Source organism: Homo sapiens, chromosome 20, assembly GCF_000001405.40.
Source record: "Homo sapiens chromosome 20, GRCh38.p14 Primary Assembly".
NCBI classification, from domain to species: domain Eukaryota; kingdom Metazoa; phylum Chordata; class Mammalia; order Primates; family Hominidae; genus Homo; species Homo sapiens.
Genome location: NC_000020.11, coordinates 58,295,928 through 58,308,224, shown reverse-complemented (window position 1 = coordinate 58,308,224; position 12,297 = coordinate 58,295,928). Strand labels below are relative to the sequence as shown.

The window sequence follows — 12,297 nt, the reverse complement described above, 5'->3', positions numbered from 1 at the left end:
TTTTTTTTTTTTTGAGACGTAGTCTTGCTCTGTAGCCCAGGCTGGAGTACAGTGGCACGATCTCGGCTCACTGCAAGCTCCACCTCCTGGGTTCACGCCATTTTCCTGCCTCAGCCTCCCAAGTAGCTGGGACTATAGGCGCCCGCCACCACTCCCGGCTAATTTTTTGTATTTTTAGTAGAGAAGGGGTTTCACTCTGTTAGCCAGGATGGTCTCGATCTCCTGACCTCGTGATCCGCCCACCTCGGCCTCCCAAAGTGTTGGGATTACTGGCGTGAGCCACCACGCCCGGCCCAGTCTTAAACTCTTTACACACATTAACTCAGAAGGCGCAGTTTCGGCTGGGTGCGGTGGCTCAGGCCTGTAATCCCCGCACTTTGGGAGGCAGAGACGGGCAGATCACTTGAGTCCAGCCTGGCCAACATGGTGAAACCCTGTCTCTACTAAAAATACAAAAATTAGCCGGGCTTGGTGGCGCGCGTCTCTAATCTTAGCTGCCCGGGAGGCTGAGGCAGGAGAATTGCTTGAACCTGGGAGGCAGAGGTTGCAGTGAACGCCACTGCACTCCAGCCTGGGCGACAGAGTGACTCCGTCTCAAAAAAACAAAACAAAACAAAACAAACCAACAAGGGGCAGTTTTGTTAAAGTAGCATAACACTTTTGAAGGGGTAAAGCAAGCTGATAGTTAAGAGCCCGGTGTCTGTGGAATCAGATGGCCAAGAGTGAAATCCCGTATCACTGTTTACTGTCAGTGTGATCCCAGGCAAGTCGCTGTACCACTCTATGCCTCAGCGACCTCATCAGTAAAATGGGCATTATAGTGGCCCACCTCAAAAGGCTTTTATAAGGGATTAAATGAATAAAGGATTTAGCACAATGCCTAGTATGTAATAAACAGTTGGTAAATAATGGCTGCTGTTACCGTTATTCATGTGATCATTATTAGTAGTTATTTAACACTGTTGAGCCTGGTACAGTATAGATCCAGGTTTACCCAGCTGAATGTTTCAGCCGATGGGCATGCTCAGATTGAAGGAGTTGTATCATTTCCGTTGATACAACGGATAAACAATGTTTAGTTGCCATGATGGTGCTTGTCATTCATAGATGTGGTATTTGGTCTGACTGGAAAGCTATTTTCTAGCTGCTTCAGTTATCTAACCACCCCAAAACTCAATGGCTTAAACCAACAGCATTTGATTTCCCACAAATCTGTGAGTAGACTGGGTGGTGCTTCTGCTTAATGTGGTTTCAGTTGGGGAAGTCCGAAATGATGTCACTTATGTGGGTGGCATAGGTCCTGGCTGTTGGCCAGGACTTCAGTTCTCCGCGAGGTGCCCTTTCCACTTGGCTAGGTCAGCCTTCTCACAGTATAGTGGCCACAGGGTAGTTGCACCTCTTTTCTGACGGCTCCCCTCCTTCAGTCCTTTTTCACCTATGTATGTACAAAAAAGGAAGTAAGGAATTATATAGGAAAAAATTATGATCTTACTTTGGACAAATATTTGAACAAATGTTAGGTGTTTGAGACTTGTGATTATAAAGACTTAAGTACTCTTCAGCAGACAGCTGAAGACTTGCCCCAATGAGGAAGGAAACCACCGTTATGGCTCTGAACTTAACCACACCTTGGGTAGGACAACCTTGGCAGCCTCTTGGGGGCTTCCTGTTTGGGCAAGGGTAGGAGCTGTGGAGTGCTGTACCTTAGGAGTTTATAACATAATTGATCTGTACGGGAGGGCATGCTCATTCGTGTCGCCCTGCTTCTACCCCTACACCTCCCCATGGTAGTATTGGGAGGTATTATCATACCATTATTGGCAGAAAGAACCCTGAAGTTTTATCCTCTACATCCTGGCTCTCTCACACCTGTAGCTGTGTTACGTTGGGTGGACCACTCATCCATTCTGTTCAATTCTTTGGAAAATGGCATGAGAATGGGAGCTGCTTCATAGGACTGGTGTGAGGGTTAGATGGATAGCCAGAAAACATTCTAGTCTAGTGCTTTGTAAAGTATTCAGTGATTTTATCATCATCATCATCTTTGCTGGATTTTTATGTAAGAGCTTATGATTCAATGTTAACAGCTGCTACTCTGTGAGGTAGGTGGGATTATTCCTCTTAACAGATGAGAAAACTGAGAATCAGGTTGAGTAACTTATCCATTGTGGCACAGCTCATGAATGGTGGAATTCACAGTCAAATGCGGTTCCTTCTGCTCTTTTCTTCTTTTTTTGAGACAGAATCTCACTCTGTCGCCCAGGCTGGAGTGCAGTGGCGTGATCTTGGCTCACTGCAAGCTCCGCCACCTGGGTTCACGCCATACTCCTGCCTCAGCCTCCCGAGTAGCTGGGACTACAGGCGCCCGCCAACACGCCTGACTAATTTTTTGTATTTTTAGTAGAGACGGCGTTTCACCATGTTGGCCAGGATGGTCTCGATCTCCTGACCTCGTGATCTGCCCGCCTCGGCCTCCCAAAGTGCTGGGATTACAGGTGTGAGCCACCGCGCCTGGTCTGCTCTTTTCTTTTTATTCCACCACATGGATCAATCTCATAAATATTCTTAACCTAGGGGATAGGAGATGGATGTCAGTTTGGGTGGTACTGTGACTGTTGTCCTCCTGGGGCATTTGTGTCTAAATGATGCGATGCCTATTTAGACTGTAGGTCCCTTGGGGTAGGGACACAGGCCATCCTTTCTATAATCCAATGTCTCGCATTATCTAGGTGCTCAATTAATGTTGTTAATGTTAACGATAACGAATTATGAGGCTTTTGTCTGATTTACTTTGTGATTCTTGATTATGTTTGGCTAATTTCAAAAGGGAGCCATAATGAATGGATGTCTTATTTTTTAAATCATTCAGAGTCTTCAGGCCATTGCAGCACAGAAGAGATTTCATTTCAGAGAATTGGCTTGCTGAAGCAATCTAAATTTCTTCTCTTGAAAGCGGAAAGTGTGTGGGATGGCCTGACATATTGGTTTCCATGTTGAATTACACATGGAAGGTGGAGCTGTATGTCTATGCCTAAGCAGCTGCAGGCCTATGAATGTCTAGTTTTGCTTATAGCATATGGAGGCTGAAGAGGTGTTATTGTTGATAAGGTTTGCTTGGCCAATTAGAATTTAAATGTGTGTCAGGGATGGGTGAGTAAAAAATGAGGGGCGCCTATTGCAAATGTAAAGAGAGCTGGTGAATAAAAAATGAGGGGAGCCTATTGCAAATGTAAAGAGACCTAAGAGACCTATCAACATAAGACAATATGTGGTCATATTTGGATCTTTAGTTGAACAAATCAACTATAAAAATACATTATTGAGACAGGGAAAATTGAGTTGGACTGGGTATTAGATAATATTAATAATTATTTTGTTGGGTGTGATAATAGTGTCATGGTTTTGTTCAAAGGAAAAGGGCCTCATCTAACAGAAACAAGCATTCGTGGGTGAAATCATTTGATGTGTGAAGTCCGCTGTCAAATACTGCAACAAACAGTAAATAAAAGGTCAGGAGAGGGATAGATGGAAAGATAAATGGCAGAATGTTGATACTTGTTGAAGTTGGTTACTGGGGACTAGTCTCTATTTTTGTATATGTTTGAAAATTTCCATAGTAAAAGGTTTAAAGGAGTGAGATGAAAGTGTCACATGATCAAACATCTATAGGAAGAGTTGGAAGGCTGGATTCCAATTCTGAAGTCACTGCGGAGTTCTTGTAAGATCCATTTAGCTTCAAAAGACTGACTCATAAAATACGTTAGTGTTTGGGGGGCAGTGTATTTCTTTTCAAATATTTAGCTTGCAAGAGCTATCTGTGAAAGAGCTTGGAAGACGATATACTTCTATTTATGGGAAAAGCCAGGTTCTAACAAATGATATCTGGACCTTTGGTGAAAACGGGATTAGCTAAGCCAATGGAATATAGAGAAAATCTTGGAATCTTAATGCTAGAAGGAGCAATATATGTTCAACCTGGAATAAAAGACATTTTCCAGAGCAAAAAGCATTCCATGTTATCTGCCCACTTTGTTCTATGTTTGTAAAAATCTCCTCAAGGACAACAACCAAGCCCCCAAAGCAGAGGAACGATATTAATCTGAGTCCTAAACCAAACCATTGAACTTTCTCTCTGAACTATGATATACGCTTGAATCAATCCTAAACCAAACCATTGAACTTTTTCTCTGAACTATGATATATACTTGAACCAAAGATTTTCAGTTTTTTAAAATAAAAATCTCCCTGTCAACTGAAATAATTTGAACAGCAATATCTAATACTTGGAAAATGGAACAAAACCCAGAGATCAAAGTATTCTCTGAGTCAGAGATTGGCAGTTTTTTTCTGGAAAGGATCATATATTTTAGGGCTTGCTGGCTAGAAGGTCTCTGGTCTGCTATTGTAGCCTGAAAGCAGCCATAAATAGCACATAAATGAGTAGGCATGGGTGTGTCCTAATAAAACTTTATTTACAAATACAAGTGGTGGGCTGAATTTGGCCTAGGGAAGGTGGTTTGCTGACTCCTTCTCTAGCTCAGAGTTGATTTTATTCCATTAGAGCCCCTAGGTCTGTGGATTAGTTGAGCCAGCCGGATCAGTATCTTTCCCACTAGGTTTAGTTAGAAGAGCTGAGCTTTGTTGAAAAACCTCTGTTGAATAACCCTTGAGAAGCTGCTCAAGCTTCATGTCTCATTTTTCCCATTTGTGTGTGAGAATGGCAAGGAACAAAAGAGTCAGAGTGGTGGAAGCGGATCCACCTTGCTTCCCTTCCCGTTGTTGTAATGCATTCTACTTTAGTTGCTCTGTATTTTCTATTTCCTGTGAGGCAAACAGATGAACATCAGCAATTCCCACAAGTTGTCTCTGTTTAAAAAGAAGAGTTTTAAATGGCTTTCTTCATCACAAAATAAGCTCTTGTAAACAAATTTTGCAACAAAACCTAGCTAACAAAAGGGAAAGTAGTTTTGACCTTGAAAATACCAAATAGTTTAACCCTGATGGGAAAAAAATAAGAGGTGAGGGCAGGTATTAGTTTCCATGCTTGGAAAGTCATTCATGCACATAACGTGTTTCTCCACGTCTTCCAAGGTATCAGCCTTCCCAAAAGCGTTGGGGATAGAGTTGTGGGGAAGCCTGGGGCTCAACTCCTGACACCCACAGCCTGGCAGGGAAGTGCCTGCAGTGTCTCAAGGGCCCAGGCAGAAGAGGGAACACAGATCTGGGCCTGTAAGAAGACAGGGCCGGGCTGGGTGCGGTGGCTCACGCCTGTAATCTCAGCACCTTGGGAGGCCAAGGTGGGCAGATCACCTGGGGTCAAGAGTTTGAGACTAGCCTGGCCAACATGGTGAAACCCCGTCTCCACTAAAAATACAAAAATTAGCCAAGTGTGGTGGCGTGCACTTGTAATCCCAGCTACTAGGGAGGCTGAGGTGGGAAGATTGCTTGAAACTGGGAGATGGAGGCTGCAGTGAGCCAAGATTGTGCCACTGCACTCCAGCCTGGGCAACAGAGCAAGACTCTGTTTCAAAAAAAAAAAAAAAAAAAGAAGACAGGGCAGGGGTAGGAGGGGAAGGCTTCTGAGGGGAGGTGGCATTTGAGTTGGGGCAGGCGGAGGAAGGCGATGGGCATTTGGGCGGTGTGTACACAGGCAGAGTGTTGCATGATCCTGGTCTGCTTGGGAGCCAGTGAGAAAGAAGAGTGGAGACTTGGGAACAAGGGCTGTGTGTGAGGGAGGGAGTGGGAGAGGCTGGGAGATAGCACTGGGGGCTGTCAGTGAAGAATCTGCTTTACCAGTCCAGGGTTTAGGCTTAACCTGGGAGGCAGTAGGGCGTCCCTAAGCACTGTGGTCGGGTTTCTGTCTTAGGAATGCAACCCAAGCAGTGGTACAAACACTGCTGCTTACTTAGGACTAAGAGCATGTCAAGCTCTGCTGTGACACATTATTGTTGTAACAAAAGCCCACGGGCTGGGTGTTTTTAATCCCATTTTATTATTGCAAGTCTCACAGCGGGCACAGAAAGGCTAAGTAACTTGCCCAAAGTAACACAGCTAGTAAGTGACGGGTGGAATTTAAACCAGGAAGTCAGGCTGCAGAATTTATCTTAACCACTATCCTTTGGAGGACTCGTCATTCACTGTTATATTCATTCATTCATTCAACTGATATTTATTAAGGGCCTATTAAGTCTCAGGCACTATGTTAGGCATTGTGGACACAGAAGTGAATAAAACGAACCCAGTTTTTGCTTATATGAAGCTTTCAGTTCAGCAGCAGAAACAAGACACTAAAGAGGTAAGCAGAAGGACATATAGCAGGTGAGTGTGACTGAAGGTGCCAGCACAGTGTGGTTGCATGCATACAGGTGCTGCTAACGTCAAGTGGCCAGAGAAGGCATCTCTGGAGCCCTGAGAGGTGCTTCTGAGTTGAGATTTGAGTAACACGCTGGAGATACTCGCATGAAGAGCCAGAGAAAGCCTCCTGCATACAGCTCTTCCTTGTCAAGGACTAGCAGGAAGGCCTGTGTGTCTGGAACAGTGAATAACAGACACAGGAGGTGAGAGGAGGAGGTGGGGGCCAGGCCATACATAGCCCTTAAGTCCATTGTAAGGTAAAGTGTTGGCCTTTTATCCATGGAGTCATGGGAACCACTGGAGAATCTGAACCAGGGAGTGACTAGAGCTGCTCTGTGCTTTAAAGAAAGGAAAGACTGGTGGAGGAAAAGCTGGGGTGGGGTCCCCAGTGTGTTCCCGTGGTTCAGGCGAGGGGAGTGGGGTCTCAATCAAGGAGATGAGCCCGGGAGTGGGGAATAGGGTTGACAGATAGTTCCAGTGGTGAGGGAAGGGTCAACTCAGAGACAGGGTCTCGTGGAGAACTTTTCTGACACCTCCATTCCCTTCTACCCAGACTGGGCTAGACACTCCTTCTTTGTGTTTCCTGAGCCCTGTATTTTCCTGTGGCAGCATTTGCTAATTTACTAATAGCATTGACCATTAGAATGGGTCTTATCCTTCTTTGGGTCCCTGTGGTCTAACATAGTGAATGGCACTGGACAGCACATGAGAAGCAATGACACAGATCCTGGTGGCATTGTTGAGGACACCAGAAAGCCCCCTTGTAGGGTTCTGGAGCACAGTTAGGACTGGAGAGGAGATGTGAAAGTCATTAGTGGTGAGTGGTAGCTGGAGCAGGATGAGAGGGAGCAGGATGAGAGGGAATGTTGGAGAAGAAGGCGAAGGGGTACACCCTGGGCAGCAGAGGCTTCTAGAAATTAGCCATGGAGTTAAGAAACCAGGAGACCCTTGGAGCCAGGGTTTTGATTGGATAATCATTTATTTATGTCACTTGCCCCGGAAGGGTCAGGTAAGATGAGGATTGAAGACAGGCCATGGAGTTTGGCAGTTAGGGCGTCTTCACTCACCTCAGTGAGTAGTTCAGCACAGCCAAGAAGTGGAAGCCAGATTGGAGTTAATTGAGAAGGTTTTGGAAGTTGAGGCAGTGTGGTCTGGAATCCAGTAGCTCAGTGGTCAAAGTGTCCCATGCCTGGTAGCCAAGGCGAAGAATACAGCAGGCTGTGGCTAGGCACTGGGCACTTTGAGGAATGGTCACTGCGTTTGGGACTCACAGCCCAGCAGGAGAAAGCACAGCCTTTCAAGAAGCAGCTGGAGGGCTTCAAGAGGCTTTTCGTCAGGGATGGAAGATTCCAGCACAGATTTGCATGATTTATATGTACTCTGAAAACCTTAAAAAAAGAATTTGAATAACCCACCAATTCTCCTGGTTATATGCCCAACAAAACATAGACATATATTCTCAAAAAACATGTTCATAGTCGCATGATTCTCTTTTTTTGAGTTGGAGTCTTGCTTTGTCTCCAGGCTGGAGTGCAGTGGCGTGATCTTGGCTCACTGCAACCTCTGCCTCCTGGGTTTAAGCGATTCTCCTGCCTCAGCCTCCTGAGTAGCTGGGACTACAGGCGCGCCACCAGGTCCAGCTAATTTTTGTACTTTTAGTACAGTCGGGGTTTCCATGTTGGCCAGGATGGTCTCGATCTCTTGACCTCATGATCTGCCTGCCTCGGCCTCCCAAAGTGCTGGGATTTCAGGCGTGAGCCACCGTGCCGGGCCAGTTGCATGATTCTTAAGAGTTGGAAACTGCAATCTACTCAAATATTTATCATGACTACAAAGGATTATAAATTCTGGTATGTTCACACAATGGAAAACCATGCAGCTGTAAGAATGAATGATCTATAGCTCTAATCAGTAATATGGATAATTTCACAAACATCTGAAAAGCCAGACACAAAAGGGTACACACTACATGGTTCTATTTGTACAAACTATAAAACGATGCAAAGCGAATCTAGGCTGTCAGAAGGCAGGAGAGTTGTTACCCATTGCGGGAGGTGGTAAGTGGAATGGAGCAAGAGGTGGTTTTGGAGATGCTGGTAAAGTTACCTTGCTTGGTCTGAGAGCATTGCTTGATTGTTTTAGCTATTTTGAACAGTACGAAAATAGAGGACCCTATACCCCAATACTCATCCCAAAGATTTTGACTGTCTTCTACAACCATTTTTTTCTTTTGCATCTACCTCAAGTCTGACTAGAGAACTCATTGCATTTTTAAGTAATATTGTTCCATTCATTCATTCATTAACGCCGTGTAGACTTTACCACCCTCATCTTCTTCAACTCCCTCCCTCAAGTGGGCGAGTTGGCAGGAGAATGGAGATTGGTAACATTAAAATGGAGCATATGAACTGCTTTGAGCTGCAGAGTTCTTTCCTATCAGGTAACCTGTTTCCCATTGACTGTCAACTTAAAAGTCAGAGTCGGCGGGGCATGGTGGCTCACGCCTGTAATTCCAGCACTTTGGGAGGCCAAGGCAGGTGGTTCACCTGAGGTCAGGAGTTTGTGACCAGCCTGGCCAACATGGTTAAACCCTGTCTCTACTAAAATTACAAAAAAAAAAAAAAAAAAAAAAAAATTAGCCGGGCATGCTGGCACATGCCTGTAATCCCAGCTACTCAGGAGGCTGAGGCAGGAGAGTCGCTTGAACCTGGGAGGTGGAGGTTGCAGTGAGCCAAGATCACGCCATTGCACTCCAGCCTGGGCAACAAGAGTGAAACTCCATCTCAAAATAAAAGTAAATAAAAGAGTCATAAATAATGATGGGTTTTGGAAGCCATGATTAAAGCCACAAATCAAAGAGGAATTTCCATGTCTGCATGGCATAGAAAGGATGGCTGCTCATGAATTAGGCTGGTCTTTCCAGCCAGCCCATTGCATAGTGCTAGTAATAACTATCAGTAGCCCTCAAAGATTTGCAATATAAAACATTATGCATTGGATGGATCTGCTCATATGAGAGCTAATAAATCAGTGTGGGTCTTGTTAGAGAATGACGTTTATATAGAGAAAGTTTGCTTGCACAACTTGCCGTTTGAATTTAGTTAAGTTAACAAGGACCTGAGGTGTGCGGGGGTCACTTCCCACCAAAAGCTGTTGAAGAATCAAGAATGTTCTTTATTTGTTAGATGGATCAAGCTTGTCTAGTCTCGCTATTAGAAATAGTCCCAATTCAGGAATCTGCATTAGTACTTACAAGCCTGTTAGTGAGAAGAACAAAACTACTTTAAATAACACATTACGGGAGTGGTGTATTCTAGTTCCCCCCAAATCACCTAAGGCCTTGCAAAGATTTAGTTGTTTATTGAAGAGTGGCTAATGTGACCCTCTAAAAAATTAATTTTTATTGATATAAGTTCTACATGAATACATTCTACATTCTAAGTACAAATTTTGCAAATAAGGCTTAAACTTCTTGGCCACCATCAACCAATCTTGTAATATTTTGAGTCAAACGTGGACATAGTGGACCATGTCTATCATGTTCCTTGTTCAGTGTCCCCTAGTGGTATGTCAGAAACAGAATATTGGATTGTATGGATAATTGGTCTGGCTCAGGGTGGCATATATCATGTAGAGTTATAATGATAGGGTGACATGTTGAATGGAGAATCATAAATACTGGGAATGGCTGGAGAGTGAAAATGCTTGCCTGGGGTAGACACGCCATAACATTCTACCTCCAGCTCCTGCTCTGCTTATGTTTGGGCCAATAAAGGGATCTCATTAGGTATGTTTTATTGTGTTTATTTTTTTCCCCTTTTTCCACTTAAAGCTGATTATGGTGTGGCTACTCAGGGCTTGGTGGCTTTGTGTGAAATGGCTCAGTGTCCCTGAACCACTTGAAGGTGGCAGATAGTGTACCTTGCTGTGCTTGCCCCTTCATCTGGAATGTTCTTTTTCCCTTTCCCAGATTCTCACTCTCTTCCCACGTGGAGGATTTCTGTTCAACCTTTAAGGCCCAAATCACATACCACCTGTGTTCTAGGGAAGGTGTCTGCCATCTCTTCACTCTCTTCCAAGTGGAGCTGTGTCCCTCCTGTTTGTCTGTGCTTGTGTCCCATGGTGCTTGCCACCATGGCATTGTGGGTGGTGATGTACATGATGATCTTTTTTCCCGTGGGGCTTATGGTGCCCAGGGACCACTACTCTGTTGAATTAGGTTTGCTGTTGTTGCCTGCTGTCCATGAGGGAGGAGGGGATGTTCAAGGTCAGTCTGCTGTCAGCATGCTTTCTGTTTCTGTATTGATCTTCCAATCCTTTTTTTTTTTTTTGCTGTAAAATGACCTGTAAAGTTTCTTTTCTGTTTATTAGATTGTATCTGCTATAGTTGAACCTGCAATGCACATTCACCTAATGTTATGCTTAACATATTAATTCATACGTGGCCTGCTTTAGGACAGATGGGTGTCTGGTGAAAAACATTGACACACAGGTGAGGACTCAGGAGTCCATGGTGTGTTTCACTACAGCATCCTCATCTGATTTCCTTTATGCCCCAACATACGTTAAGTGATAGAGATACTGTCAGGGTTTGATAACCCTTGAGTAACTAGTTAACATAGAGGAGGGTAAATCCTTTTTTCTCAATGTTGTAGTTTCCAGAAATATTTTTCTCTGGTGGGCCTCTTAGTCGGAGAAGAGTTTCTTTTTTTTTTTTTTTAAATGTAGTCACCTAGCATCAGGGGCAAGGGATAAACCCTGTTATTCTTTGCAAAGTGGTCAGGACCTTCCTGAAGAGGAACTGATCTTGTTTTAGGTTGTGCGAGCTCAGAACCACCCTGGCCAACTTAGCAGTGGCTAGAAATGTAAATTCTAGACAATTATTATTATTACTTTTGAGACAGGGTCTCACTCTGTCTCCCAGGCTGGAAAGCAGTGGCACAATCAGCTCACTGCAGCCTCGACCTCCCAGGCTCAAGCGATCCTCCCACCTCAGCCTCCCTGATAGCTGAGGCTATCTGTAGAGGTGAGCTGTCTGTGTCTTAGCTATTGAAGTGGATGGTAGAGGTAAGCTGTCTATTTCCTAGCGTTTGAAGTGGTTTGGATGGTAGAGGTGAGCTGTCTATGTCTTAGCTATTAAAGTGGATTTTTAAACTGTATATCTCCCTGGAGGGCCAGGAGCAGTCACAGCTGCTGACTGCGGTGTAACAGAGCTGCAGGGGTGTTGGACACACAGTTCAAGGTGGCTCGTGTGTGCAGAGCCAGGGGATGGGGGCTGAGCATACGGGACGGTAGGAGAGGCCACTGACCCCTGTGCATCACCATGGCCCTTCTCCAAGCCCTTTTCCTACTGTGCATTGCTAGCTTATATATTAATCATTTTTGTTACAGTCAGTAGTGTCCTGTGTCAACTTGTCAGTAAACCTAGAAATTTAGAAAGTGGCAGAAACAGAAAACAGCTGCTGCTTAAAAGCTTATTATAGTGTAGATGACAAATGAAGTCAAAACATGATCAATACTGGTTTATTTCATATTTTACACTGGGCCAAGACAACTTGAAGTTATTATTAGAAACTGTTTTGTTCAGAAAGCTTTGTTTTTCTGCATCATGCGAAGCTTTCATAAATGGAGTTAGTAGCTTTTTTGTTTTTCAAATGTAAACAAAAGTGAAATTTGAACTAGGAATTATTTATGTGCTACTTCATATTTCATTTCTAACTTGAAAGCTTAAGATTCCTGATCTTTATGTGTGGTCTGGACTTGTTGGGTCCCAGAGTAATTGTTTGTAATACTGCCTTGTAGACCGTAGCCCCTTGTTTCTATCAGCATTTGCCAGACGACATGCCAACTTAGCAATGGCTAGAAATGTTAATTCTTTTTTTTTTTTTTTTGAGAGGATCTTGTTCTGTTGCCCAGGCTGGAGTGCAGTGGCATGATCTTGGT

At 44.2% G+C, this 12,297-nt stretch overlaps 1 pseudogene across 1 annotated transcript in view, besides 1 other annotated feature; it reads left to right on the top strand.

Moving 5' to 3' along the window:
- The window catches only part of PPP4R1L (protein phosphatase 4 regulatory subunit 1 like (pseudogene)), a 76,663-nt pseudogene that overhangs the window by 1,215 nt on the left and 63,151 nt on the right, over positions 1-12,297 (top strand). The gene's annotated exons all lie outside the window — the stretch shown is intronic.
- Positions 5,281-5,781: an enhancer, noted in NCBI's record as "H3K4me1 hESC enhancer chr20:56877500-56878000 (GRCh37/hg19 assembly coordinates)". NCBI's record gives its function as "activates a minimal SCP1, AML or CMV promoter by ChIP-STARR-seq in primed H9 embryonic stem cells {active_cell/tissue: H9 hESC(primed)}" and the evidence as "EXISTENCE:reporter gene assay evidence [ECO:0000049][PMID:30033119]".